At 43.6% G+C, this 27,964-nt stretch overlaps 1 protein-coding gene across 1 annotated transcript; it reads left to right on the forward strand.

Moving 5' to 3' along the window:
• Positions 1 to 641: 641 nt before the first annotated feature.
• On the forward strand, positions 642 to 26,534 carry LOC124900290 (deleted in malignant brain tumors 1 protein-like). Its single transcript, XM_047426130.1, has 8 exons — positions 642 to 825; positions 2,002 to 2,142; positions 5,684 to 5,725; positions 18,274 to 18,585; positions 20,029 to 20,061; positions 20,584 to 20,759; positions 23,110 to 23,492; positions 25,823 to 26,534. The coding sequence occupies exons 1-8, from the start codon at positions 642 to 644 to the stop codon at positions 26,112 to 26,114; spliced, it is 1,563 nt and encodes a 520-aa protein (XP_047282086.1). The 3' UTR covers positions 26,115 to 26,534.
• The last annotated feature ends 1,430 nt before the right edge of the window (positions 26,535 to 27,964 follow it).

Here is a 27,964-nt window from a genome sequence, read left to right on the forward strand (position 1 = left end):
GAGACCCTGGGGGCAGGAGGGCCTGGGGGCAGGAAGGCCTGGGGGTAGGAGAGCCTGGGGGCAGTAGAGCCTGGGGGCAGGGGAGCCTGGGGGCAGGAAGGGCTGGGGACAGGAGCTGCTCCTCTACCTGCAGCCCCACCTGGGTCCCAGCAGCAGCTGCTGAACTCTGTGATTCTGACAAGGCACCCCTGTCTATGGGGCCAAATGTTCACAATCCCAACATGAATGTTATTTCTTTTATTTTCTTATTCTTAATCAGAATAATACACACCCATGTACAGGGTGCTATCAAATTTTAAGTGGTAGCTATTAGATAAGAGCCTGGATAGGGTTGTTTAAAGGCAGACTCATACATGTGATTTAGATGATATTTGAGAAGAGTATTAAATATCATTGTGTGTGTTTGGAATGTAATTATGCTAACTATTTTTCTTTTTTACGCCATAGCTTCTTCAACTCCTGGGGAGCACCCAAGCGATTTTCATCTAAGAGGTACTTTCCCCATTCTTATATTTTGTAACAGTTTTTCTGAGGCTGAGGGTCTGACCATTTGTGACTAATGGAAATGTAGCAAATGCGATTTCCCTGGCCCTGGTGCTGTGTGCAATAAGAACTGTGCTCATGAGAGGCAAGCTGGTGACATGGAGGATTCTCGTGGAGTAGGTGTCTTTCCAAGAAGAGAGCCCACTCAGCCACCGCCCTCTGCAGCAACAGCAGCAGCAGGCTACTGCTCCTGCAGGTCCTTCTACAGGGGCCTCGGGAACCAGCCCCAGTTCCTGGGGATGCAGATCCTGAGAGTCAGCTTCATCTGCTTTGGGCGCAGGGGTCCGTTTCACTTGGTCAATTTTTTACTTGCTTGTCACAGTGATGTTCTATCTTCTGCTGCTTGATTTTCCAATCCCAACCACCTTCATCATTTCTCAATCCATACTTTACAATTTTCTAAATTCAAGTAAAGCAAAATTAATTTTGTACCAAGAATTTCATAATGTTCTTGGAGAGACCTGAGTTAGGAATGCAAAATCTGAGCTCCAAGCATTCAACTCTATTTCTTGGAATTTTTAGAAAAACCACCTGGAAAATGACGCTTTTTTTTTTTTTAATCTGAAGACTTAGTGTTCAGTGTTTCAAACAAGTCATGGTGTGTCAGCAAAACAACTCTGAGTTAAAGTGGCATCAAATGTTCATCATCCATCCTTGTAGCTTCAAATCCCCCAGGTGACCATCAGTGATGCTACCCTGACAAAGTTCAGACAGATGCTTCCAATTACTGTCAGACAGTGAGGGTCACCACCATGGGAGGGAAAAGTGGTGCAGAGACATTGTGTAGTGTGGGGTTAATCTTTTAAAGTGCTGATGTGCTTGTGATGATGGCTTGGTTTTCCCTTTCAGCTGTTGAAGTTGCCCCAGCATTGACAGAAATGGGCCCCAGCATTGGTAATCCTTTGATTGCTTCCCTCAAACTTCCTAATTATTGAATCTGTCTAGGGGACTCCCTGTAATGTCAGTGCCCACCCAGATTCATGTCTCTCCAGGACTGAGAAAATACAGAGCTGATACAGAGGGAGAGGTTACAGAGGTGACTGCCACTTGTCTAATCTCTGGATCCTGAAAAATGTTTTTAACTGTGAACCTGGGCCCCAGTAATAATGAAATAATGAAAGGTTGAGTTTGACATATCCCCATGCTATTGCCTATCAGTTTGATGGCTCAGCTTCAAAACAGATATTTATCCTTATCCGTGTAATTGCCATGTTTCTAATCCAAAGATGAGAATGAGGGAACAAAATATTGGAAATCACAAATAGCCTCAAAAAGTCAGTTAAGGAATTTGCAAGCACTAGTTTGACTTAGTCCTATGGGACCCAGAAGCAGGAAGCAAGAGTGTCTAGAGTTTTGGAATTTAGAGTGTGTATTATTTTAAGAACTAAAGAAAAGTCCCACTAGTGTCTGCCAGAAGAGCTGATCACATTCCAGTGATAACCTCTGGGTCTCCCCCAGCCTTGCCCATTGTCAAGTTGGCAGATGAGAGGAGCCAATGCAAAGGGCACATTGAAGTCTACCACAATGGCACATGGGGGACTGTGTGCGACAACCTCTGGGGCGTCAACGCTGCCCACATGGTGTGCCAGCAGCTGGGTTGTGGGAAGGGTGTTGGCCACCCCAGGGAATGGCCACTTGGTTGCAGGGGTGGGGGGTGGCGGCGTGGGACACATCCTCCTGGACGATGGGCAGTGTCAAGGCATGGAGACCACACTAGGCCAGCGTGGCTATCTGGGTCTGTCCATCCACAACTGTGGCCACCATGAGGATGCTGGGCTCATCTGCACAGATACTGACTTCCAGCTTTCTCCTGAGGCTGCCAGAGCCATGACTCTCAGTGGGGGACCTGGAAACCAATGTGAGGAAGTTTGGGTCTCACTGGCATCCTCTAAACAAATGCCCAAGGTCCACTCTCAACACTGAGCTCCCTGGGGCAAAGGATACATAATGACATATAATACAACCCTGGGTCAGCCCCAAGTCCCTCAGCCCCACATCCTGCCCTGATCTTGGTTCCGGAGGCCTCTTGGCTATTCTCAGCTTCCCTTAATTTGTTGATCTACCCAGTGTTTGACTCAAGGCCTAATGAGTTCACCTTAGGTCCCTCTGTCTCTGCAGTCTTCAAGGAATTACCAGATCCTTTCTGTGAACTATTCACTAGGGTAATGGCACTTCCTAGACTTTGTCCCAAAGTTGTCTGTTTTGAGCTTTAAAGCTGACTTTGCAGTGCTGCTCCAGGAAATTCCATGAACAAAACCCAGATCTTCCCATCTACATACTGTGTGAAAGCTTCAACACTATCTTCTTTTGGCCTCTCTGGTTTGAGATAGTTTCCTTTAAAAAAAAAATCAGCCCAGTTTGTGCATTATCTATGTTTCTTTCTCTTGCCAAAAAAGCAAAATAGAAAAGGAAATGAAATGTAATATTCACTGCTTAGCTTATCTTAATTTTATAGGACAAAGACTACACTAAAAGGATTGAATTCATCCATTTATTTAACAAATATTTATTGAGCACTTCATATGTGCCAGGCACAATTCTAGGTGCTGAGAATGTAGCAATGAACACAACAGACAATCCTGCCCTCATGGAGCTTGCATTCCAGTGGGAGGGTTAGAGTCATTTGTGCATTTAAACTGTAATGGATAATTAACAAAAGTAAATGAATACTGAATCAAGGGTCATAATATGCTTTATTATGTTAAGGAATCACTTTCCTTTAGTGCTCAGACAACTTAGTATTGTGTTATAATTTGGTGAAAATGGGAAATCAACATTAGAAACCTAAAGTCAGAATTAGGAAGGCTCCTAGTACTTTGCCATTCTAGAAATGATGTCCTCTTCAGTGCTTCAGTGAAACAGCCTCTCTGATCCATCCCAGGGGGTTCTCACAACCAATAGGTGTTTCTCACTTTCTGCCTTTTGCATCCCTGTCACTCTTTCAGTCTTAACAAAGAAACCTTTGTCATTTTTAATTTTACATCTCAAAAGTTGTTCTGTATCTAATTTTAATGTATCTGAGATATAAATTTTTAAAATTAAACAAACCTAAATTCCTGTTTGTTTTGCAATTTCAGCATCAGCTACAGAAATAACCACTTCACCTGGTAATTTTAGTTTCTTTCTTGCTTTCTATAAATCAGATATGTGTAGATTGTTTTGCATATGGTTAGGGTTGGAGTTTATATCTCATATAAAATTAAATATCAGCTCATGTCAATGTATAAGTTGCTTATATATTCATTAAATGAAGGAGTACATTGACAGAGATTGTGTGCCTTCCATACATAGCACATAATATGTCTAGTTTGTTTCCTCCCTCTTTGGTGCAACAGCTGGTCTTTGAAATCAAGTTTTAGTGACTGGCTTCACTTACATCCTCATCAGTGTCCATACATTTGGGTGTCCAGTGAGTCTGGGTTTTTTTTAACCCCCAAACCACAGGACTTCAGATATCTCAGGCAAAACTACCTTAATCTGCATTTTCAGAAAATAATGGAGTACCACATCTCTCGTGTGTTCCACATTACAGTACATTAATCTATTGATATGCAAATTTTAAAGAAGGATTCACACAGCTAAGTAAGTTAGGGAAATGCCATATCCCTCTCTTGAAGATTCACTGCCTATTAACACATTAAAGTCTCTGACAAGACCTGTAGTAAGGGATCTTTAAAAAAAACAAAAAAAAACTTGGTTTAATCCAATGATTCTCAAACTTCTTTGACCACTGAAGACTTTCGAGTGGCAATGCAGCCTCCTCGCAGGATTTGGAGCCAGAGAACCTGGGATTACGTTCTGGCTCCAGCCTTAACCAATTAGGTCACAGCAGTCAAATCTCCTCACCTTTCAGAGCCTCAGTTTCTTCATGTGTAGAACAAGAGGATGAAAACAGCCACCTCGGAAGCTTGTCCTGGGGACTGAGTGGTCAGGTCACACTTGTGTAAGAACACGGTGATGGGAGCTTCACAGTCACCTCCTTAGGGATGTGTGTGCTGCCGCCTGCTGAGTTCCGGCTTGGCTCCCTAATGTAAGCAACCCATGTGTCCTTTTATAAAATTCCTTCCTCTGGACACTTTGGGGATCATCCTAAGGCTTAAGTTAACCACTGTTTGGCTAAATAAGTGAGTGAAATACCAAATCAATTCAAGTCAGCTCAACTCAAGTTTTCTCTGAACTGTCCATATTTCCATGGTCCTTATTTCCAAAAATCTCAAAGCCTTCTGCCAGAATTGATACACACTAACCTCTAAGGAAAATCAAACAAGGAAACATGCTGCTCTTTTGGTGATTGGATCTGTGAAAATTGTCCACCAGTTCTTTCAGGCAAGAACAAGTCATATGGCACCATCACAGTGTAACATTTTTCTAAAAGTTGGAAGAAAGCTTAGAGGTTGCTCATACTGCAAGTCACAAGTGGGCAGTTTTGGCCTGCCATGTGTTTGGATGCAGACAACTCAGTTTTACCTATGCATGTTTACATTATTTTTAATCCCACCTCTTAATAATGGAATATATCCTACAAAAATCCAGATTTTCAGCTTTGATTGAAAAATCTGAGAATGGTCAACGTGAATTTCAGCAGGGCACCAATTGGTTGGGGCTGAGCAGGAAATGACTGCCTCCTTTATATGGCACATGCTCTTTCTCCCATTTCTTCCTGGCCGCCGTGCATGTCTAAGCCTATAGACATCTCCGTTTGCACGCTTGGTGCTTCTCAAACCTTAATGTGTACATAGCTGTCATGGAGATCTTGTTAAAATACAGATTCTGGTTCTAGTGGATCCTGAGAGCCCATATTTCTAACAAGGTGATACAGATGCTACTCCTCCACGGACTAGCCCTTCAGATGTAGTAGCTGAAGCTCAGAGATGCAAAGGAGCTTGTCCAAGGTCACATACTCTGTTCCACAAAGACTAGAGACTAGAACCCAAGTCTCTTGAGTCCTAGCCCCACGACCCACCTGCCCCATTATTAATCCCCTTAGCTTAATAAACAGAGAATAGGAGAATGAAACAGGAACATGGCTGGGGCATAATTTGTAAACAGTGTGATTTAAAAAAAATCTTTACCAATAAACTTGATTGACAAGGATGGCATTTAACTATAATTTTCTCTTAACTTTTGCTTGTCTTGACAGTTCCTGCTTCAATTTCAGCCACAGATTTTGCCCTTACACCTGGTAACAAGTTTTTTCCTAGTATGTCCTTTATTACCTATATTAGGGATATTGCTATGTTGAAATTTACCTAGCTAGTACAATTATACCACTATTTGTCCAGGAGTCACTTGGCTAAATTAATCCCCTGGAAAATAGACTAGAACCCAGAAATAGACAGAGTGCCTCATGCGCCCAAACTGAGATCCTAGCATTCAAGCTCAAGTGTTTGAATACCTACAGAGGTATACCACAGAGCCTGTTACTGAGAGCTTGTTCTTACTTTCTACACACTCATAACATCTGGCTATCTGGTCTCCCTGCTGACTATATATTAGTAGAGACAACAGGCTGGGGAGGGAGTGCAGGGTGCTAGGAGGTATAGACCTAATAGAGAAGCTACATTGGCAATGGCAGGAAATGCTAGCAGATGCTCTGATAGCCATAGAAGGGTTCAAAAAAAAAAAAAAGCATTCAGTGTCACTTTCTAAATGGAGCAAAAATGCCCACTTATCTCAGCATCCTTTGAGAGAGCTCTGTATTGAATCCTGGAACAACAATGATACTCTTCCTAATGAGTCCAAGTTCATGCAAGTTCAAGTATGATCAGTATCTTTTTTTTTCTTTTTTTAATTTTTATTTTATTATTATTATACTTTAAGTTTTAGGGTACATGTGCACAATGTGCTGATTAGTTACATATGTATACATGTGCCATGCTGGTGTGCTGCACCCGTTAAGTTGTCATTTAGCATTAGGTATATCCCCTAATGCTATCCCTCCCCACTCCCCCCACCCCACAACAGTCCCCAGAGTGTGATGTTCCCCTTCCTGTGTCCATGTGTTCTCATTGTTCAATTCCCACCTATGAGTGAGAACATGCGGTGTTTGGTTTTTTGTCCTTGCGATAGTTTACTGAGAATGATGATTTCCAATTTCATCCATGTCCCTACAAAGGACATGAACTCATCCTTTTTTATGGCTGCATAGTATTCCATGGTGTATATGTGCCACATTTTCTTAATCCAGTCTATCATTGTTGGACATTTGGGTTGGTTCCAAGTCTTTGCTATTGTGAATAATGCCGCAATAAACATAAGTGTGCATGTGTCTTTAGAGCAGCATGATTTATGGTCATTGGGGTATATACCCAGTAATGGGATGGCTGGGTCAAATGGTATTTCTAGTTCTAGATCCCTGAGGAATCGCCACACTGACTTCCACAATGGTTGAACTAGTTTACAGTCCCACCAACAGTGTAAAAGTGTTCCTATTTCTCCACATCCTCTCCAGCACCTGTTGTTTCCTGACTTTTTAATGATTGCCATTCTAACTGGTGTGAGGTGGTATCTCATTGTGGTTTTGATTTGCATTTCTCTGATGGCCAGTGATGATGAGCATTTTTTCATGTGTTTTTTGGCTGCATAAATGTCTTCTTTTGAGAAGTGTCTGTTCATGTCCTTCACCCACTTTTTGATGGGGTTGTTTGTTTTTTTCTTGTAAATTTGTTTGAGTTCATTGTAGATTCTGGATATTAGCCCTTTGTCAGATGAGTAGGTTGCAAAAATTTTCTCCCATTTTGTAGGTTGCCTGTTCACTCTGATGGTGGTTTCTTTTGCTGTGCAGAAGCTCTTTAGTTTAATTAGATCCCATTTGTCAATTTTGGCTTTTGTTGCCATTGCTTTTGGTGTTTTGGACATGAAGTCCTTGCCCATGCCTATGTCCTGAATGGTAATGCCTGGGTTTTCTTCTAGGGTTTTTATGGTTTTAGGTCTAACGTTTAAATCTTTAATCCATCTTGAATTGATTTTTGTATAAGGTGTAAGGAAGGGATCCAGTTTCAGCTTTCTACATATGGCTAGCCAGTTTTCCCAGCACCATTTATTAAATAGGGAATCCTTTCCCCATTGCTTGTTTTTCTCAGGTTTGTCAAAGATCAGACAGTTGTAGATATGTGGCATTATTTCTGAGGGCTCTGTTCTGTTCCATTGATGTATATCTCTGTTTTGGTACCAGTACCATGCTGTTTTGGTTACTGTAGCCTTGTAGTATAGTTTGAAGTCAGGTAGTGTGATGCCTCCAGCTTTGTTCTTTTGGCTTAGGATTGACTTGGCAATGCGGGCTCTTTTTTGGTTCCATATGAACTTTAAAGTAGTTTTTTCCAGTTCTGTGAAGAAAGTCATTGGTAGCTTGATGGGGATGGCATTGAATCTGTAAATTACCTTGGGCAGTATGGTCATTTTCACGATATTGATTCTTCCTACCCATGAGCATGGAATGTTCTTCCATTTGTTTGTATCCTCTTTTATTTCCTTGAGCAGTGGTTTGTAGTTCTCCTTGAATAGGTCCTTCAAGTCCCTTGTAAGGTGGATTCCTAGGTATTTTATTCTCTTTGAAGCAATTGTGAATGGGAGTTCACTCATGATTTGGCTCTCTGTTTGTCTGTTATTGGTGTATAAGAATGCTTGTGATTTTTGTACATTGATTTGGTATCCTGAGACTTTGCTGAAGTTGTTTATCAGCTTAAGGAGATTTTGGGCTGAGACAATGGGGTTTTCTAGATATACAATCATGTCATCTGCAAACAGGGACAATTTGACTTCCTCTTTTCCTAATTGAATGCCCTTTATTTCCTTCTCCTGCCTGATTGCCCTGGCCAGAACTTCCAACACTATGTTGAATAGGAGTGGTGAGAGAGGGCATCCCTGTCTTGTGCCAGTTTTCAAAGGGAATGCTTCCAGTTTTTGCCCATTCAGTATGATATTGGCTGTGGGTTTGTCATAAATAGTTCTTATTATTTTGAGATACATCCCATCAATACGTAATTTATTGAGAGTTTTTAGCATGAAGGGTTGTTGAATTTTGTCAAAGGCCTTTTCTGCATCTATGGAGATAATCATGTGGTTTTTGTCATTGGTTCTATTTATATGCTGGATTACATTTATTGATTTGCTTATATTGAACCAGCCTTGAATCCCAGGGATGAAGCCCACTTGATCATGGTGGATAAGCTTTTTGATGTGCTGCTGCATTTGGTTTGCCAGTATTTTATTGAGGATTTTTGCATCAATGTTCATCAAGGATATTGGTCTAAAATTCTCTTTTTTGGTTGTGTCTCTGCCCGGCTTTGGTATCAGAATGATGCTGGCCTCATAAAATGAGTTAGGGAGGATTCCCTCTTTTTCTATTGATTGGAATAGTTTCAGAAGGAATGGTACCAGTTCCTCCTTGTACCTCTGGTAGAATTCGGCTGTGAATCCATCTGGTCCTGGACTCTTTTTGGTTGGTAAGCTATTGATTATTGCCACAATTTCAGAGCCTGTTATTGGTCTATTCAGAGATTCAACTTCTTCCTGGTTTAGTCTTGGGAGGATGTATGTGTCGAGGAATTTATCCATTTCTTCTAGATTTTCTAGTTTATTTGCGTAGAGGTGTTTGTAGTATTCTGTGATGGTAGTTTGTATTTCTGTGGGATCGGTGGTGATATCCCCTTTATCATTTTTTATTGTGTCTATTTGATTCTTCTCTCTTTTCTTCTTTATTAGTCTTGCTAGCGGTCTATCAATTTTGTTGATCCTTTCAAAAAACCAGCTCCTGGATTCATTAATTTTTTGAAGGGTTTTTTGTGTCTCTAATCACAGGATCAAATTCACACATAACAATATTAACTTTAAATGTAAATGGACTAAATGCTCCAATCAAAAGACACAGACTGGCAAATTGGATAAAGAGTCAAGACCCATCAGTGTGCTGTATTCAGGAAACACATCTCACGTGCAGAGACACACATAAGCTCAAAATAAAAGGATGGAGGAAGATCTACCAAGCAAATGGAAAACAAAAAAAGGCAGGAGTTGCAATCCTAGTCTCGGATAAAACAGACTTTAAACCAACAAAGATCAAAAGAGACAAAGAAGGCCATTGCATAATGGTAAAGGGATCAATTCAACAAGAAGAGCTAACTATCCTAAATATATATGCACCCAATACAGGAGCACCCAGATTCATAAAGCAAGTCCTTAGTGACCTACAAAGAGACTTAGACTCCCACACAATAATAATGGGAGGCTTTAACACCCCACTGTCAACATTAGACAGATCAACGAGACAGAAAGTTAACAAGGATACCCAGGAATTGAACTCAGCTCTGCACCAAGCGGATCTAATAGACATCTGCAGAACTCTCCACCCCAAATCAACAGAATATACATTTTTTTCAGCACCACACCACACCTATTCCAAAATTGACAACATAGTTGGAAGTAAAGCTCTCCTCAGCAAATGTAAAAGAACAGAAATTATAACAAACTGTCTCTCAGACCACAGTGCAATCAAACTAGAACTCAGGATTAAGAAACTCACTCAAAACCACTCAACTACATGGAAACTGAACAACCTGCTCCTGAATGACTACTGGGTACATAATGAAATGAAGGCAGAAATAAAGATGTTCTTTGAAACCAACGAGAACAAAGACACAACATACCAGAATCTCTGGGACACATTCAGAGCAGTGTGTAGAGGGAAATTTACAGCACTTAATGCCCACAAGAGAAAGCAGGAAAGATCCAAAATTGACACCCTAACATCACAATTAAAAGAACTAGAAAAGCAAGAGCAAACACATTCAAAAGCTAGCAGAAGGCAAGAAATAACTAAAATCAGAGCAGAACTAAAGCATCTTTTATTTAAAAGAACAGGAAAGCATGTTTCAGTTCAGGAAGGATTTAATTTATAACGTGCATATGTTTTTAATTCAGGAAGATGGGAATTTGAGAGGGTGGAAAACAACTAGTCATCATAGGTGAATTTTTCTGACAACAAAGCCTCCTAGTAAATGAGACCAAAGTAAAGGCAGAACTGTGTATAATCAGAAAATGAATAAAAATTTTCTGATCAATTGACTAACATTTCTGCTCATGTTTCATATTCAGGCATAATTTCCACTTCAGAAGAAGTAACTCCTTCACCTGGTAATGCCCTCTGCCCACTGCACTACAAATGTATGCAAATGGGACACCAGGATCACCTCTGTCCACCACTGGGGCCAAGACTAGGCAGGCTTGGGGGCGGTGTGGTATCAAGTTATCATCGTCTTTGAGCAGGGTGCCTCATCCAGGCCAGACCCTCTGCCTGGCATGAGGTGGTGGTTGGAGGATGGTAAGATAGAGAGAGGACTTTCCTGGCTAGGTTCGATCACCTGCCATGGGCTCTGGTACCATCGTGCCTCTCTCCTTCATAGCACTTGCTACAATTGCAATTTTACATTTATTTGTATAATCACTTGACCTCATCTGAATTTCCCATGACACAGTCCTGTCTTTGAGGACAGAAAGAACCTATGTAGTTTTGTTGGCTGTTTTACTCCAGCCCTGGCACAGTCCCTGGCACAGAGGAGTGGGCAGTCAATATTTGTTAATTAAATCAATGAAGACCATGATTTCCGTGTTCTAGGGACACAGAGAAGAAAACAAATTAACTATGAAACAAAATTTGTTTGCCATTTGGTAGGTTTTGACCAATTACCTTTTCTCATTTCCAGTGTCTTTGAATACTGCTCTAACCACCTCAAAAGGTAATTTAAGTGTTATTTTGGGTTCCATCTGGCTTGCTATAATTTTTTTTGTTTGGTTTTCCAGTGAATTGATTAAACAACTTTTTATGTCCTGGTCAAATTCTTTCATTTTTAGTCATCTTTTGAGTTTTAAAATATGTTTATATTAACCTTACTCTTAAAGGCCATCTCTGATCCCCTGATGATGATCAGTGAATTCTGGGCAACTCAGCTCAATGCATAAGCCAAGGGAAAAATTTGTTCAACCCATTAGGCCAAGTTGAATCCATGAAGACATTCACTGACTGGTAGTCTAAGGCAGGGATCCTCAACCCCCAGGTCACAGACCAGTAGGGCTCTATAGCCTGTTAGGAACTGGGCCACACAGCAAGAGGTGAATGATGAGCAAGTGAGCATTACCACCTGAGCTCTGCCTCCTGCCAGATCAGTGGCAGCATTAGATTCTCACAGGAGCACAACCCTGTTGTGAACTGCACGTGTGAGGGATCTAGGTTGAGTGTACCTTATGAGAATCTGACTAATGCCTGATGATCTGAGGTAGAACAGTTTGATCTTGAAACCATCCACCATCCTCCCCGCCATCTGTGGAAAATTTGTCTTCCACAAAACAATCCCTGGTGTCAAAAAGGTTGGGGACCACTGGTCTAAGGTAATCACCTACTTGAGTCTGTGGAGAGAACTTCTCCTGGAGACCAGCCACCAAGTGGTGTTTCCAGAATGGAAAGAAGTCAAGCCATGGTTTTCCCTGATCCTCCTTGACGTTTGCCAGCATTCAGTGAGGATGGCCAAGGCAGTAAGAGATGCAGAGTTGACCAAGACAGCAAGTAACTTGCCTCTTATACAACAGATTTGGAGTGATGCTGGTTGGAATTATCTGAGGAGTTTCTAATGTGACTCTGGGTTCGAGAACTTCACAAGTAGAGTGTAGAGGGATTTGTGGGTTTTTTTTTTTTTTGTGAGGGAAGGGGGATAATAAGAGGGTGGTCTTCCCTGCTCTAGGTGTTGAAGCAAATGAGGTATAAAACATCAGATTCAGCAGCAAAATGAAGCCTTTATTACTGATAAAGCTGGATTGGCGGGAAACAGTACAAAAGACAAATGGACCTGCCACCCCTCCCCACTCTCAGCTAGATCTTAGGACAGCCCACTAGGGAAAGTTCCAGTCTGCAGAGCTGACCCTTTCCTGGGTCACTGCCACCAATCATTTGAAAGGAGGAGAAAGGCCGGGAAAGCAAGTACCCACTCACAGAATCTTTGTTAGATTAACTCCATGCCACTGAGAAACCTGGCCCATGGCTGTGGCCCCCCCCAGACAGTCACCTCTACCTCCATGGGAAGAAGTAACATGTTGGCAAGAGGAATGGAGACCCACAAGAAGGAATGGAGGGCTGGCTTGGAGGCAGTGGGGGGTCTGGAGATGCCTTGCCACGGCTCCTGGCTGCAGAGCAGGAGGACAAGCCTGGCAGTCACTGATCCAGGACACCACCTTCCTGTCTCCTGCATCTTGTAGAGGCATGTGTGCCTGACGAGACGGTCTTATTGCTCCCTTGTCCTTTGTGTTCACCTGCAGCTTCCATCTCCACTCCCGTGACCTCCACACCAGGTAGAACACTCTGTCTGCTATCCCATCAGTGCCTCTTCTTGGAGATCTGTTTATCAAAATGAAACTCAAAAATTTTGTCCCCAACATAGCCTCAGTAAAAACAGAAACCCAGGAGTCCCCTCCACTGGTGTATGTCTCTTCTTCCTTTTATCTCTAGAGATCTCTTCAACCTCAGCAGAAGTGACCTTTCCACCTGGTAAAGTCTCCTTTGTGGTACTGTTTAAGTTAATGAGACTGGCTTCGTATGTGTCATGTTCTATTCAGAAAATAAGCCTCAGTTATGATCATTTTTACTGCAGAGTAAAACTCAATGAAAAGACACAGCTGGCCTTCTTCCACTCATGTTTGTATCCTGCTCTCTTTGTTAATACACAGATGCATCTTCAATCTCAGCAGAAGCGGACACGCCCTCTGGTAATGTTTTCTGCCTGTCATATTTCCAAAGTTCAATATGATCAACTTTTTCCCTTTCTCTGTGGCAAATCAACATATATAGGTACTGGCTATTCTGTCTATGGTATGAGCCTCAGTGTAAACAGAAACCCCAGCATCCTTTTCACAGAAACTGAGGTTCATGTTCTCTTCATCCATAGACACAAAAGTGGCCCCCGCACCAGGGCACACCTTCTGCTTGCTGTACTGGTTTTGATCAGATGTGCCCATGGGAGGCCAGGGCTAGGGGTTCACACTTCTCCTGCTTGGCCTGTGTGTGTCATGCACTGGTCTTGATCAGATGTGCCCACGGGAGGCCAGGGCTGGGGGTCCGCACCTCTCCTGCTTGGCCTGTGTGTGTCATGCACTGGTCTTGATCAGATGTGCCCATGGGAGGCCAGGGCTGGGGGCCCGCACCTCTCCTGCTTGGCCTGTGTGTGTCATGCACTGGTCTTGATCAGATGTGCCCATGGGAGGCCAGGGCTGGGGGCCCGCACCTCTCCTGCTTGGCCTGTGTGTGTCATGCCCTGGTCTTGATCAGATGTGTCCATGGGAGGCCAGGGCCGGGGGTCCACATCTCTCCTGCTTGGCCTGTGTGTCATGCACTGGTCTTGATCAGATGTGCCCATGGGAGGCCAGGGCCGGGGGTCCCCATCTCTCCTGCTTGGCCTGTGTGTATCATGCACTGGTCTTGATCAGATGTGCTCATGGAGGCCAGGGCTGGGGGTCTGCACCTCTCCTGCTTGGCCATATGTGTCATGTTTCAGGTGATGCTTTGACCCAGCAAGCACACCTGAACACAAACATGAAAAAACTGGGTTGTGATAGTGTTAGTTCTATCCATCTGCCCTTCTGTTTTCCACCATGTAGTTGGTCAAACCAAAACATTCCTCTGCATTTGCAGATACGACTCCCACTGCAGCTGAAGCCCCTTCTTCACCAGGTATGCTCTCTGCTCCTTGCAACAGCCCTCATGAGTGGCTTTCTCAGAATGCTCAGCCCAGCAAGAGTTTACACACCCAGAATAAACACTTCTGTTTCTCCAGGTGAGGTCAGGGGAGAAGAGAGGAGAAGTCAGGGGAGGCCACTCAACTCCCCAGAGGATTCCAGGCCACTCCCCTATCACTAGTCATGAAACTGCACGCAGTGAAGGTGGATGCTGGGGACAGGATAAATAGGATAAAATAGCTTAAAATCTCAAGTCTAGAGTAGGGATTCCCAAATGCTTATATGTGTGTGAGCCTCATGTGGAACTTGTGAAATGCAAATTCAGTGGCTCTGGGTGGAGCTTTTCTAAGAGGCTCCCAGGTGATGCCGCTGCTGCCGGTCATGGACCCGGTTGGGGGAGTAAGGTGTTGAACCACCACCCTCATTTTGGAGGAAAATGAGGCCCAAAGAAGGAAAAGATTTGCCTAAAGTCACAGAGCTAGGGCAAGGCAGAGCCAGGTGTCCTGACTCCTATCCAAAGTCCTTTCTGCTCTCATGCTCTGCTGATGAATCCATCTGTGTGATTCTCCCAAATCCCTATGACATTGACGTCTTCAGTAACAAGGCTCTGCTGCTTTCTTCTCTTTTATTTATTTTCTTTTTTCCCCCAAGTCCTGGGTACTTTGAAGACATATGGGGGTAAAATTCAATGAAACCAAAGTTCAGCACTTTCTTTTCACCTATGTTTAAGTATGGCCGGCCTGCCTTCTTGCCTGCCTGCCTGCCCTCCCTCCCTCCCTCCCTCCTTCCTTCCTTCCTTCCTTCCCTCCTTCCTTCCTTCCTTTTCCTTCCTTTCTTTCTCCCTCCCTCCTTCGCTTTCCTCCTACCTCCATCCCTCATTTCCTCACTTCCTTCCTTCTCACCCACACCATGACTCCACTTTTGCCAGAAGATTCCTTTGCTTGTAATTCTCACTGGCTCTTGACATCACATGAGGCAACCTTTTCTCTGTGGATCTGGTTGACGGTAATTGGGTTGCTTTGGTCACAGATTAGGTGACACTCAGAGGGTTTTACTTCCTTTGTGAAGGCATGACAGCGAAATCACTTCCTGTTTGCTCGGGAAGGGCCACCTTGGAGTGGGAGAAAAGGTGTGGTGGCCATTAAACCCTTACCTTCCTTCCCCTTCATCCCTGATTAACCACATGGAGCCCGGGTGAATGCGACTCCCACATGTTATACTCCTGAAAGGCAAAGTGCTTAGAATACATGCTTTGGAGCCTCATGGGCTTGAATTGTGGATAACCTGAGCATGCTATAAAACCCCTGAGTCTCCATTTCCTCATCTCTAAAATAATTGTCATGAGGACCAGAGATGCAAATTATCTGACACATTGTAGATGTTCAAAATAAGAATTGTCAGTCTCCCTCACAAAATGCCAGCCTCTCGTACTCCAGTTTATGCCTGAATGTGTAAATCCACAAGATCAGTGCACGCGGTGGATTTCTACTGCATATCACAGATGAAATAGGCTCGTTTTCATACATTTATAGTCTACAGTGTAAAATTTCAATGAAGCCAAATTTTAATGCTTTCTTTTCAAGAGAATATTTTTTTTGAAGCCACAGATCTAATTTCGACCAAAGTGACACCATCACTCTGTAACGATCTTATGTCTGTTGCTAGATTAATGCTTCATTTTATTATTTGCACTACTATATTCTTTCATAAAATCCATTGCTAATTTTTCTACCAGGCTTTCCTCTGTATATGTTACTATGGAATTACATCTCTCAGATATGACCTTTTTCTTATCTAAAAATATTTCAGAGGAAACTAACTTGATTTTCTTGGCTTCATTTTCAGCCCCTATAAAAATGTTTTCTACAAAATATGTTTTTTTAATTCTTCCTTTCAAAATTCAATATATTTATAAAGCTTTTTTCTGACCATTGAATACATTATTTTATATCTGGAGAATAAACAGGATACAGCACTGCTTATTACATTTATTTATTTATTTATTTATTTATTTATTTATTTATTTATTTATTTTGGGATAGGGTCTTGCTCTGTTGCCAAGGCTGGAGTGCGGTGGTGCAATCACTGCAGCCTTGACCTCTTGTGCTCAAGTGATCCTCCCACCTCAGCCTCCCGAGTAGCTAGGAACACAGGTGTGCACCACCCTGTAGCTATTTTTTTACATTTTTTTAATACATACTGGATCTCGCCATATCGCCCAGGCTGGTCTTGAGCTCCCGGATGCAAGTGATTCTCCCACCTCAGCCTCCCAAAGTGCTGGGATTACAGGTGTGAGCGCAGGCACCTAGCCATTTAATACATTTTGATGGCAAAAAAAGTAAAACTTAATGGATAATATTTCTGCACCCAAACTAAAGTAGGAACTTAAACAATGTATTGCTATCTGAAATTACAGAAAATGTTTGGTTCTTTTTCAGGTTTGAATATAAATATGAACACATATTTTTGAAGTTTATTTTTTTTCTTATTTACAGTTAAAATTTCAGTTGATGAAAAGATGGTCCCTGTACTTGGTAATTTTTGTCTCTAAACACTAAAATGATCATAACTCTATTAATACTGTTAGGATCATATTTATTTTTCATTTAACTTCCTTACTCTTTACAGGAAAATTTTATGAGCTTGTAGGTGTGTATGTGCAGACACAGGTGTGTGTGTGGATACACATGCACTTTGTGGGTTGAAATCCCAAAATTCACTTTCCAAAACCTTACCCAGAAGATATTTACCCTTATTCATAGTTCAAACAAGCATGGTTATCTTGCTTCCAATATTACAGCAATAAATATGATGAGGAGAGTGACCAGCCTAGACCAGCATACTACAGTCACAGAGAAACAGAAGCCTGTGGTGTTTAACATTCACTAAGCATCTTCTATGTGTCAAACAGAGCAGAAAATTGAAAGATGCAGTCACCACAGGCTGATATAAAGGCAAATCATTCTACACATGTCTGTGGGCATGATACCACCAACAGAATATAGATTTTATTTTTTATTCTTTTTATTTTTCAAATCAACCTTTTTGAAGTATAATTTCTATACAATAAACTGCATGCATCCATGAGTTTTGTCTAACATACACAACTGTGTAGCGACCACCACCATCAGGATAGAGAGCATTTCCATCATCCCAGGAAGTTCCCTCATGCCCTTTCTCAGTAAATCTCTCCCACCTTCTCCAGGCAAACACTGATCTGCCTTCTGTCACTATAGAATAGGTTTGTTTTTCTAGAATGTCATATAAATGGAATCAAATAACATGTGCTGTCGTGTTTCTAACTCCTTTCACTTCAAATGTTTTTCAGATCCATAAAGGAACAAATGTATTGGTCATTTGTGACTTTTTTTTACTGCGCAGTGTTATTCCACTGTGTGCCTATACTATGATTTACCCCTTCTCCTGCAGATGGGCACCTGGATGGTTTCTGGATTTGGGCTGTTGTGGAGGCTTCTGCTGTGTCCAAATCTTTCTGTGGACATGCACATTCGTTCATCTTGAGTAAATACCAAATGGAAGAGCTGGGTTGTACAATATGGTTTTTAGAGCGAACGTATGAGCTCTTCACCATCAAGAGTAAAAGTAATTTCACTGGATACATGTTTGATGAGTCAAGGCAGTGCCTCATTTTAGAACAACTGTCTCCTAAATATTTGGAAGTGTTTTGGTTTTTTGTTTTGCCTGTTTGCTTTGTTTTCTTTGGGTTTTTATATTTTTGCTTGAAGACTAAGTTCTTAGGTACCTGGAAAACTAGGCTTGCCCACAAGGACCATTCCTTGAGGGCTTCAGATAATTAAGGCTTTACTGTATGAGAGAAAGTGTGTGTGTGTGTGTGTGTGTGTGTGTGTGTGTGTGTGTGTGTGTGTGTGTTGGAGAACAACAAAACCAGAAACAGTTCGTATTGCAAATAGCAAGTGGCACCCTGCGATCCTGTCCAGGATGGAAACCTGACCTCGAGTTTCTTCCCACCTGACCGCTTCTCTCACCATGCAGAGCCGCCCCTGCGCCTGGCGGGCGGGCGGAGCCGCTGTGAGGGCCGGGTAGAGCTGCGGCACCAGGGCGTGTGGGGCACGGTGTGCGACGACCACTGGAACATCAGGAACGCCCGTGTGGTGTGCCGCCTCCTGGGTTGCGGCCGTGCTCTGGGCGCCCCGGGCCGCGGCCGCTTTGGCCAGGGCACCGGGCCCATCCTGCTGGACGACGTGCGCTGCACCGGCCACGAGAACGCGCTGGAGCGCTGCACCCACTCGGGCTGGGCCCGGCACAACTGCCAGCACCGCGAGGACGCGGGCGTGGTGTGCGCAGGTATCGCGTCCTCTGCCCACCCTGCCTTTCCTCTCCTCACATTCCTGGGGTCCAAATTCACCATCCTGGGGATATCAGGTGCGGCCAGGGTCCCAGATCCTATGGTACCGAGGGCATGTTGGTTAGGTACACTTGCTGGTAAACGTTTTAATCATCCAGGCTTGGGGGCGCACTCGTCACTTTTGTCCAACTCCACTTCAGCTCAGTATTGGTTCTGAAATACAGTTAAACGATGATGGGGTCAAAGGAAGGAGTGGCGGTGTAACAAAATGACTAAGGCCGTCGAACTTGCTGCTGTTTGTCTACGATTTGTCCAGTCCCTCTTTCCATCTCGGAGGAGGGCTTCAAGAGCATAGTCCTGGTTAGACACTCCTCCTCACCTGGCCCTAACCCTCAGAAGTCAGAAAGACACCCCAGGGTGTCCCTGGCTCCTCTGATGTCCCTTTCATCCAAGATTTGGCCTATACCTTTCCTGGAATGTATTTTGTCACCCAATATCTGTCTGGGCATTCTGACTTCAAGAGGTTGACTACCTTCTGTATGGAGCAGTGCTTCTTTATATGTGCCCTAAACTTACCCTAAACGTCAAGGAGTTATGGAATTCTAAGATTTGAAACACAAGTCTGAGCTCAACTTGTCTATTCCATTCTTAGTTTTTTATGGGTAAATCAAAGGAATTGTTGCCATTGCTTTTGCCTTTGTAGATGGTGCCTTGTTTTGCATAGACATGGGACCCAACTAGAAAAGCTGTCAGAGGCCCCTGAAGACAGACATGAATCACACCCAGCCAAGGAGTATGAATGTGTGCTAGGGTCATGGGGCCCTCACCTTCCAGATCCTTGTTTTGATTATGTCAGTTCCTGGTTCCAGCTATTCCTGATGCTGTCAGGGGACCGATTCTAAATGACGATCCATTTTCCATTCTTGGATTATATACCAAGTGGATCCTTTGGACATTCACTGAGGGGTTAAGTGAACTTAGCTGGCCATGCTTCCTGGGCTGGGTGTTGGCTCTGGGGTACTGTCCTGCCTTGCTTCTGAGCTGGAGAAGACTTTGATATCTGCAAATTACATCTTTCCCAGCTTGAGGCTCCAAGCGTGTCACGTGCTTGGGAAAGGACACCAATCAGTGTTCATACACAGGATAGCATTATAACCTTAGAAGCCATGTGTCTACTATTCTCTTGCTCCAATAAATCTTGGAATTGATGATATATGTATTCTCAACTCTAGTTCACACATGCCAGGCTCCAGCTCCCTCAGGAGGCCCTGGGCCCTCCTTTCCTTTGCATGCTCTGGAAAATTCTCATGCCACTGTACCCCAGCTTTAGTAGCGAAATCAAATGAGCCCATTCCCCTACACTTCATGTCTACTACCAGCTACATTATCCTCTTGCAGTGTTCCAACACAGTTGACATTTGTTTTCATCCTTCTCTCACCAGGTCTGGCTGACTCTCTTGTACCTAAGGACAATGGTAAAGTCTTCCCTCTAGCGTCTGAGGCTAAGGATGCTGATGGGGGAGCTGAGAGAACAGCCAAGCAGGGGAGAAAGAACAGGCTGTGATGGGGACCCGCTTCTGTGTTTACACTGAGATCTCTGGATTTCCACCCACTCGCTGGGTTTTAGGAGGTTGGGAAAAAGCCCCTTTGCACCCAGGCTCCCTTTCTTCAACTTACCTCCATACAAAGACCCAGATAGATCGTGTTCAGGTGCACAGTTCTCAACATGAGAAATGAGCCATGCATGGAATGTGGGCTATGGGTAGGATTCCCCATGGGTGTGGGGTGACCTCAAAGCCTTCTTGGAAAAGGGTTGGTATAAGTAAAATTAATGAAAGTCAAGTCAAGGGTGGGATATGAGGAGAGCTGAGCCAGCTCCAGCTCAGGGCATTGTTCATGGTAGTTTAATGAAGTAAAGATATACACGCACCCAGGACCTACATGACCAGTGAACCAGTTTCTCTTTGTGAGGATTTCTTCATCTTCCCCTCCTGCAGCCCAGCTATCCTGCTTGCCTCACCTCTTCCAAGCCGTCATTGACCGAGGCTATCTCCGGAGGCTGGGCTACTCCTCCTGGGACATCCACTTAAATGATGAGCTATGTCGCCCCAAAGTCATGGGACGCTGCCTGATCTTCAACATTCCCTATGGCCACTGTGGCACTATCCAGCAGGTAGGACACTTCCCAGGTGGTGCTACCCTTCTGCAGATGAGGCCCAGGTGAAAAATTTGGGAAATTCAACCACCTATTAAAAATCTGTGTAAGGACAGAGGAAAAGTGCAAACCATAACTTCATTTCTGAGTTTGGTAAGACAGAGAGCAGCTCATTAGTTTGTCTGAAACTTTCCTTCCTTTGGGGAATTTGGGATACACAATAACAAGTATTGAGTGCTGATGGGCTGATGGATGTGTGGATGGATGGATGGATGGATGGATGGTATATTCTTTTCACTCCAGAGGCAATGTATTTTCCACACATGCCTCTTGATTGAGCATTGGTGTACACCTACCATGTGCAAGCTATGGTGACAGGCATGAGGGAAGACAGATTGTCCACTTGCCCATCTGACTGCTAGGTTTCTAAGCAGGTAACTGCATTCCATGATCAAGAAAGCAAACCTTTAGGACATTTATAAATCATGACATATATATGTTTATTTAGTTTTCCTTGACTACTGGTTTATTTCACAAAACAATGGTATTGAAATTAAGGAAACAAGTACACGAGAGATATAGGGAGAGTGTATAACCACAGAATATTTTTTTCTCAGTATTTAAACAGGATAACCTGTTCCCAAGCAAGATCCCCATACTGCTTCTCCATTCTTGTACATCCCCTGATTAGACACAAACATGAGGCCAGGAAACCCTTGGCATTGTTAGAGGTTGAAGTCATTCACATTTTATCTATTTCATTGTACAGATCGTAGTCATTCCTATCCTTTTTGCTTTGACAATTCTACTTTTTAACCTCAGAAGTTTCTGCCCCAGGATCCATGCCCCCTGTGTCTGGGAAGTGGGCACCCTCAGGGAAGCCTCTGGGCCATCAGGGAAGACCCTGCAAATGTTCTCTTTCGCCTGGCTGGCTCAGCTTCCCCTGAAAACCCCATGAGCTGACCAGGGTGCTGGGGTAGCAGTCAGCAGGATCAGAGAGCACTGATAAGGAAAACACTGCTGCACAGAGGTCCATGTCTGCTTTCAGAGTCAGTGGATGGGTCACCTTCTAGGTGCTGGGGACACAGCAGCCGCAAGACTGACAGAGCCCCTGGTCCATGGCCCTTACATTCACGAAAAGGGGGACAGGATCAGACCAAACACCCAAACCAGGGTCCTTTTTATACCAAAAGAGGTTACGAAGACAGTAAAACAAGGGAGGGGTAGAAGAGTCATTTGGGGTGGAAGGGAAGCCGTGTTGAATAGGCTGGTGGCTGGGAAGCTGAGCCTGCCCTGGGGTGGGGCAGCCAGGCAGAGGATGTGGGGATCAGCCAGGGCTGAGGTCCTGAGGCAGCCGCAGCCTTGGGGCTTTCAAGAAGAGACTGGAGGCCAGGAAGCCCAAGATCAGAGTGGAAGAAGGGCAGGACCATGTGGGTGAGGAGTTTGACTTTTATTCTAAGTCAGAGATTCTCAAGGAGGGTAATGTCACCCTTATGGGCAGCAGGGAAGATAGATATTGGTTCTTAGAGGCAAAAATTATAATATCTTTCTTTCTAGCTCAAGCACAGATACACATCTGGTATATAAACACTATACTTGTATTACAACTCATAGTCAGGGTTTGAGAGAGGCCAGGATGAGTAAGATGTCTACAAAGGCTCCTTAGTGGGACCATGGTGGAAGAAAGTTGACAAACATTGGTCTAAGCTGACAGGGCAGTTCTTGGAGTTTCCAAGCAGAATGTCACAGGATCTGAGTCCCACAAGCTGAGGCTTCTTTGAACAAATGTTCCCGGGCAGGCTAAGCCTCTAGGCATCTACACAGGGCATGAGAGGCAGGGACCCCTGCCTGTTGGCCCCAGCACAACCTTACCTCCTGCAAGTCCTGTTGGATTTGAAGGCTGGGAGTGAAGTTCAGCAGGGCCAGGCCCACAGCTCACATGGAGCCAGTACTGGTCTGGAGTCAAGGGCAAGGAAGAGACCAAAGAGAGGACAAGAGCTCTGGGGATGGTGGGGTTGGCCTTTGGGAGCCTGCAGGAATCGAGCTTGTGGGGGAATTCAGCAGAAGGGGAGCTCAGAGCAGCTGGACCTGCCACCCCAGCTCACAGCTAGCACAACAGCTTAATCCTCACAGGATGGCAGGGACAGTCCAGACTTGCCCACTGGGGGCTCCCTGCGTGCACCCCACATGTCATGTCACCCCTTTGTGGTGTTAAGTATCACAGAGGTCTGGCCCCGGGAGGTCTTCCCTCCTGCAGGTCAGCAAGCTGGTGCCAAGTGGGGTGGGAAGGAGAGGTCTCAGCTCATGGAGGCAGGTGCTTGTCAGGGAGCCAAGAGTGCTGCCCACAACTCTTCTCTCATCCTCACAGGAGCACCTTGGCTCCCTCAGCTACTCTAACTCCATCAGAGGCCGGAAACGGGGCCACCCTGGCCGAGTCATTGTGCGGCACAAGGTGCCCAAGCTGAAGTTCACCTGTAGGGCGGACGGCCCATCCACAGTTGAAATCATTCATGGGGATGACGCCCCAACAGAGGGTGCTGGCTACACCGTGTCTATATCCTTCCTCCAGTCCCCTGAGTCCCAGCATGTGGGAGGCATGGTGCCCTACTATGACAGCCAGAGGAAAGAGGTCTTCCTCCAAGCCACCCTCCACAGCCCCAATCCCAACCTGATGCTCTTCGTGGATACCTGTGTGGCTTCTCCTGATCCCCATGATTTTACAGCCATCAAGTATGATTTGATCCGGCAGGGGTAAGGAAGATGGAAGGCCCTCTGGGGTGGACTGTTATATTCACCTGCTGTGCCTTTAGGGAACCTGTGGCTTCTCAAGTGGTATTCCTACATCAGAACTTTGTGCAGACTCCTCACTGTGTCTCAGGCACAGTGGGGGCCCTCAACATCATCTGATCACAAGTGGGGACAAATAGTTATAGGCAGGCAGTTATAGACACCTTCCCTTAACTCCCCACAGTCCTAGGGAGGGCTCTTGCTGCCCTGGGCTCTGCTGCCTCACTTCACCCTTTCATGTCCATGCCTCCTTTCCTTCCAGCCCCTTCCAGCCGTATGACTTCACTGGACTCCCCATTCATAGTGCAGGCCCTCGGGGCATTGGCCTACACTGATGAACTAATAGGTTATCCCAAGCTAAGATCTTAGTTATACTTGTGAGACTTATTCTGGCTCCTTTGGTTAACCAAAAGATTTGCCAAGTTAGAACTTCGGCCAGTTGTTTGCGTTTATAGCTCTCTTGTCCCCTAACAGAGGCAAAGTGCTTATAGATGGGCAGTTCGCAACAAGTTTGAAAACAACAAAAATCCATCACTTACTACTCAATGGCAGTTTTAGAGTGGTGAGGACCACGGCACCCTAAAGTCCATGGAGAGCACTGTGGTACCTGTTTCCAAAAGCCAGGGGACGGACAGGACACAGCATCTTCCACAGGCAGTGTGAGCCATGGTGTGAGAGGTGCACAGAGGTGGCACTAAACTGCATTGAGCCACAGAGTGAGAAAGCTCTTCCCTTTCAACCCCACTTATAAATATATCAGGCAAGAGGCTCTGTTTGGTGCCAGAATTTAACAACGGACATTTTTTTCTTCTGCTTTCTTCAGCCTTAATTTGTGCTTCTTCCTCTAGTTTTCAAAGCTTAGACTATAGATTTTAGATATTTCTTCTTTTCTAAAATATGTGTTTTATAAATTTCCCTCTAAGCACTGCTTTAGCTGCATTCCACAAATTTTTGATAACTTGTATATTCATTATCACTTAGCTCAAAATATTTTTTAATTTCTCTTTTGAGATTTATTTGACCCATGGGTTATTTAGAAATGTTTTGTTTAATTTCCAAACATTTGGGAATTTTCCAGGAATTGTTCTTATTCAATTTTGAGTTTAATTCCACGATTCTGATAATGTATTTTGTGTGATTTTTGTTCTTTTAAATTTGTTAAGGTGTCTTTTATGGCCCAGAATGTGGTCTGTCCTGATGAATATTCCATGTGGGCTCGAGAAGAATGTGTGTTCTGCTGTTGCTGGATGGAGGGCTCTATAAATGTCAATTTGATCTAGTGGATTGGGAGTGCTGTTTAGGTCATCTATATCCTCACTGATTTTCTTCATGCTGGATCTGTCAACTACTGTTGGAGGAGTTTTGAAGTATCTGGCTATTATAGTGGATTTGTTGATTTTCTTTGCAGTTCTATCTAAAACTGTGTTACGTGCTTACATAAGAAAAATTATTGTGTCTTCTTGGAGGACTGATCACTTTGTTTTCATATAATACCCCTCTTGCTTCCTGATAATTACCCTGGCTCTGAAGTTTATTTTCTTCTGAAATTGATGTAGCTACTCCACCTTTCTTTTGATTAGTATTTGCACGGTATATCTTTCTTCATCTCTTTACTTTTAACTTACCTGTGTCTTTATATTTAAAGTGGGTTCCTTGTAGACAATAAATAGTTGGGACTTGTTTTTTAATCTACTCTGCTTCTAAATTGCTATATTTAGACCATTTATATTTAAAGTGATTCTTGATATCATTGGATTAAAATCTACCATCTCAGTAACTGTTTTCTATTAGTTGCATTTGTTCCTTGTTTGTCTCCTCACACTCTTTTTGCTGCCTTCTCCAGTTTTAATTGAGCATTTTATGTGACTCATTTTTTCTCCTCTGAATGCATCACTTCTTAATTTTTTTTTTTTGGTGGTTTCCCTAGGGTTTACTGATGTACATTTTTAAATAATCCAAGTTTGCCTTCAAATAAAACCACCAACACTTTTCATCTCTCTTTGGACAAAACAGAGTAGGCCTTTTGAAGACAAGAGTTCTACCTAGAATTTAATTACTTTTTTTTTGGTTTTATTGTGTTTATTTTCTAGTTCCTTTCTATTTATGTCCAGGAATAGTGGTTTTTCCACTCATAGCAGTGTTAAAAAGTTTCTTTATGAAAGAAAGAGTGGGTAGTGGGAAGAACTCTATTTGCAAATCAGAGATCTGGGTCCATGCCTGATTATCTGGGTTGCAGTAAACTCATATCGTGCTTTAAGTTAATCTTTTTGTCCTGGGGTTTTTCTCCCCATCAGGTGCATCAAAGACAATACCTACATCAACCTCCATCCCCGCCAGAAGAACATGGCTCAGTTCAAGTTCAATGTCTTCAGCTTTCTTGACAGCTATGATGTGGTATATCTGCAGTGTAAGGTTGCAGTGTGCAAGGTGGGGGATTATGCCTCTCTCTGCTCCTGGGGCTGTACAGGACAGAGTAGGAGAGGTGCAGGCCCCATGGAGGCCAAGGAAAAGCAGACTGAGCATTTCCAAATGGTGGGGCCACTGGAGATCCACAAAGTCACTGCTCAGAGGAGGACTCTTGAGTGATTTCTGCAATTTTCATGTAAATCTGTAGAAAGCAAAGTCTATTTCTCTTCAGTAATGTTTGACCAATCAGACGCTATCCGCATAGAGACAGGTCAAAGAAACAGCCAGAGGGGATTGCTTCTCTGAGGTTTGTTACTAAACAAATCTTCTCTGATTACTAAACTTCTAAGGCAATTACTCTCTTTGCTGCCACAAATGCTACATTTTCTAATTCTTGTCTTAAAGTGTACAAAATGTTACAAAGAGCAGGGTTATCTCTCTATACCGCATTGTCAATTTAAAGATTGTCTTTTTAAGTTGACTGTTTAATCATCAGATGCTATTAAGTGGATCTCTGTTTTTATCCTCTGACGGTACGAGGATTTATTTTCAACTCTTGCCAAGAGTCTTAGGTAAAATAAAATAAGTGTCTGTCACTCATTTTTTTTAACTCCACTCATTTTTTTAAACTCTACTCATTTTTTAAAACTCTAACTGGTTGCTTGAATCAAGCATGTCATTCACTCATCACAACAAGCTTTGATCATTTTGTTTTGATGGGAATAAATTGGACCTAGGCTTTGTTGGGTTTGGGTTATAGCTTGCAAATGAAAGGCTGAAATGCAATCACAGGAACCATGTATCTGCTGTCTGAGCTGCTGATGCAGGGCAGGCGAGCCCCAAAGTGGAGCTTAGCCTGCGAGGATTCTTGGCTTTGCCCACGAAAGAATTCAAGAGCAAGCTGGAGGTAGAAGAAAATAGCTTTATCAAAGAGGCAATGTTACAGCTCCAGCGGTGTTACAGCTCTATGACTGCTCCTGCAGAGCAGGGCTACCCTGTAGGCAAAAAGTAGCAGCTCAGGGCAGTTTTGCAGTCATATTAATATTAATACTTACTTTTAATTGCATGCAGATTAAGGGTTGGTTTATGCAGAAATTTCTAGGCAAGGGGTAGTAACTTTTGAGTTAGTGGGTCATTGACATGGAAAGGGGCAGTAACTCCCAGGTGCTGCCGTGGCAACAGTAAATTGACATGGCACACTGGTGGGCATGTCTGATTGAAAGCTGCTTCCACCCCAGCCCTGTTTTAGTTAGTCCTCAATTTGGTCCGGTGCCTGAGCTCTTCCTCTAGAGTTGAAACCCGCCTCCTACTTCACTACCAGGTGTTTGTGTGGCCATGTTCTCAGTCTGTTTCCCAAATCCTCAAAGCATTTGGGAAACTTGAAAAGTACACATAAAACCTGAAAAGCAAACAAGGAAAGCTTAGCTTATTCCTGCATCCTCCCAGAGAAGGAGAGCAGCATCCACTCTCATCTCACTTTCTACCTTAACAGGAAGAGACCTGTGCTAGACTCACTATCCTTGAAGGTGTCTTTAAAAAAACAGACTTGAACATAGTCAGATTTTTATTTTTGCTTGTCAAGAAATATTCAGTAGCAATATTTAAAAGATAGGTCCCCATCTCCAAGGACTAGTTCCCCTCTTTGTCAACAAATGACCTGCACAGGATGGGACTACAGTATTTTCAAGTCCCCCATGGAGGAGGGCAGTTTTGGGTAGAGCCTAGGAGCTAACCCTGAGGTCCTCAAGGTTAAAAATCTGATAAATGACCCAAGGAGGTGTGTAGCCTGTGAGCTGAACATCTGTTTCATTACAAATTTTCCCTTCATCAACAACTGTCTTGGTAAAATATACTGGTATTTATTTTAATGAAGTTCCCTGCTTATACACAGAAATTGATGAAATGTGATTACTGGCCAGTTTGGTGAAAATACTATCTTTAAATCAGAGTCAATTATTTGTCCCTGAGTAGCTCCAACTTTAGTCACATGAAACAATGATTTTAGTATCTGATGTGTATTTCATGCAAGT

This window comes from Homo sapiens, chromosome 10 (genome assembly GCF_000001405.40).
Source record: "Homo sapiens chromosome 10, GRCh38.p14 Primary Assembly".
Classification (NCBI taxonomy): domain Eukaryota; kingdom Metazoa; phylum Chordata; class Mammalia; order Primates; family Hominidae; genus Homo; species Homo sapiens.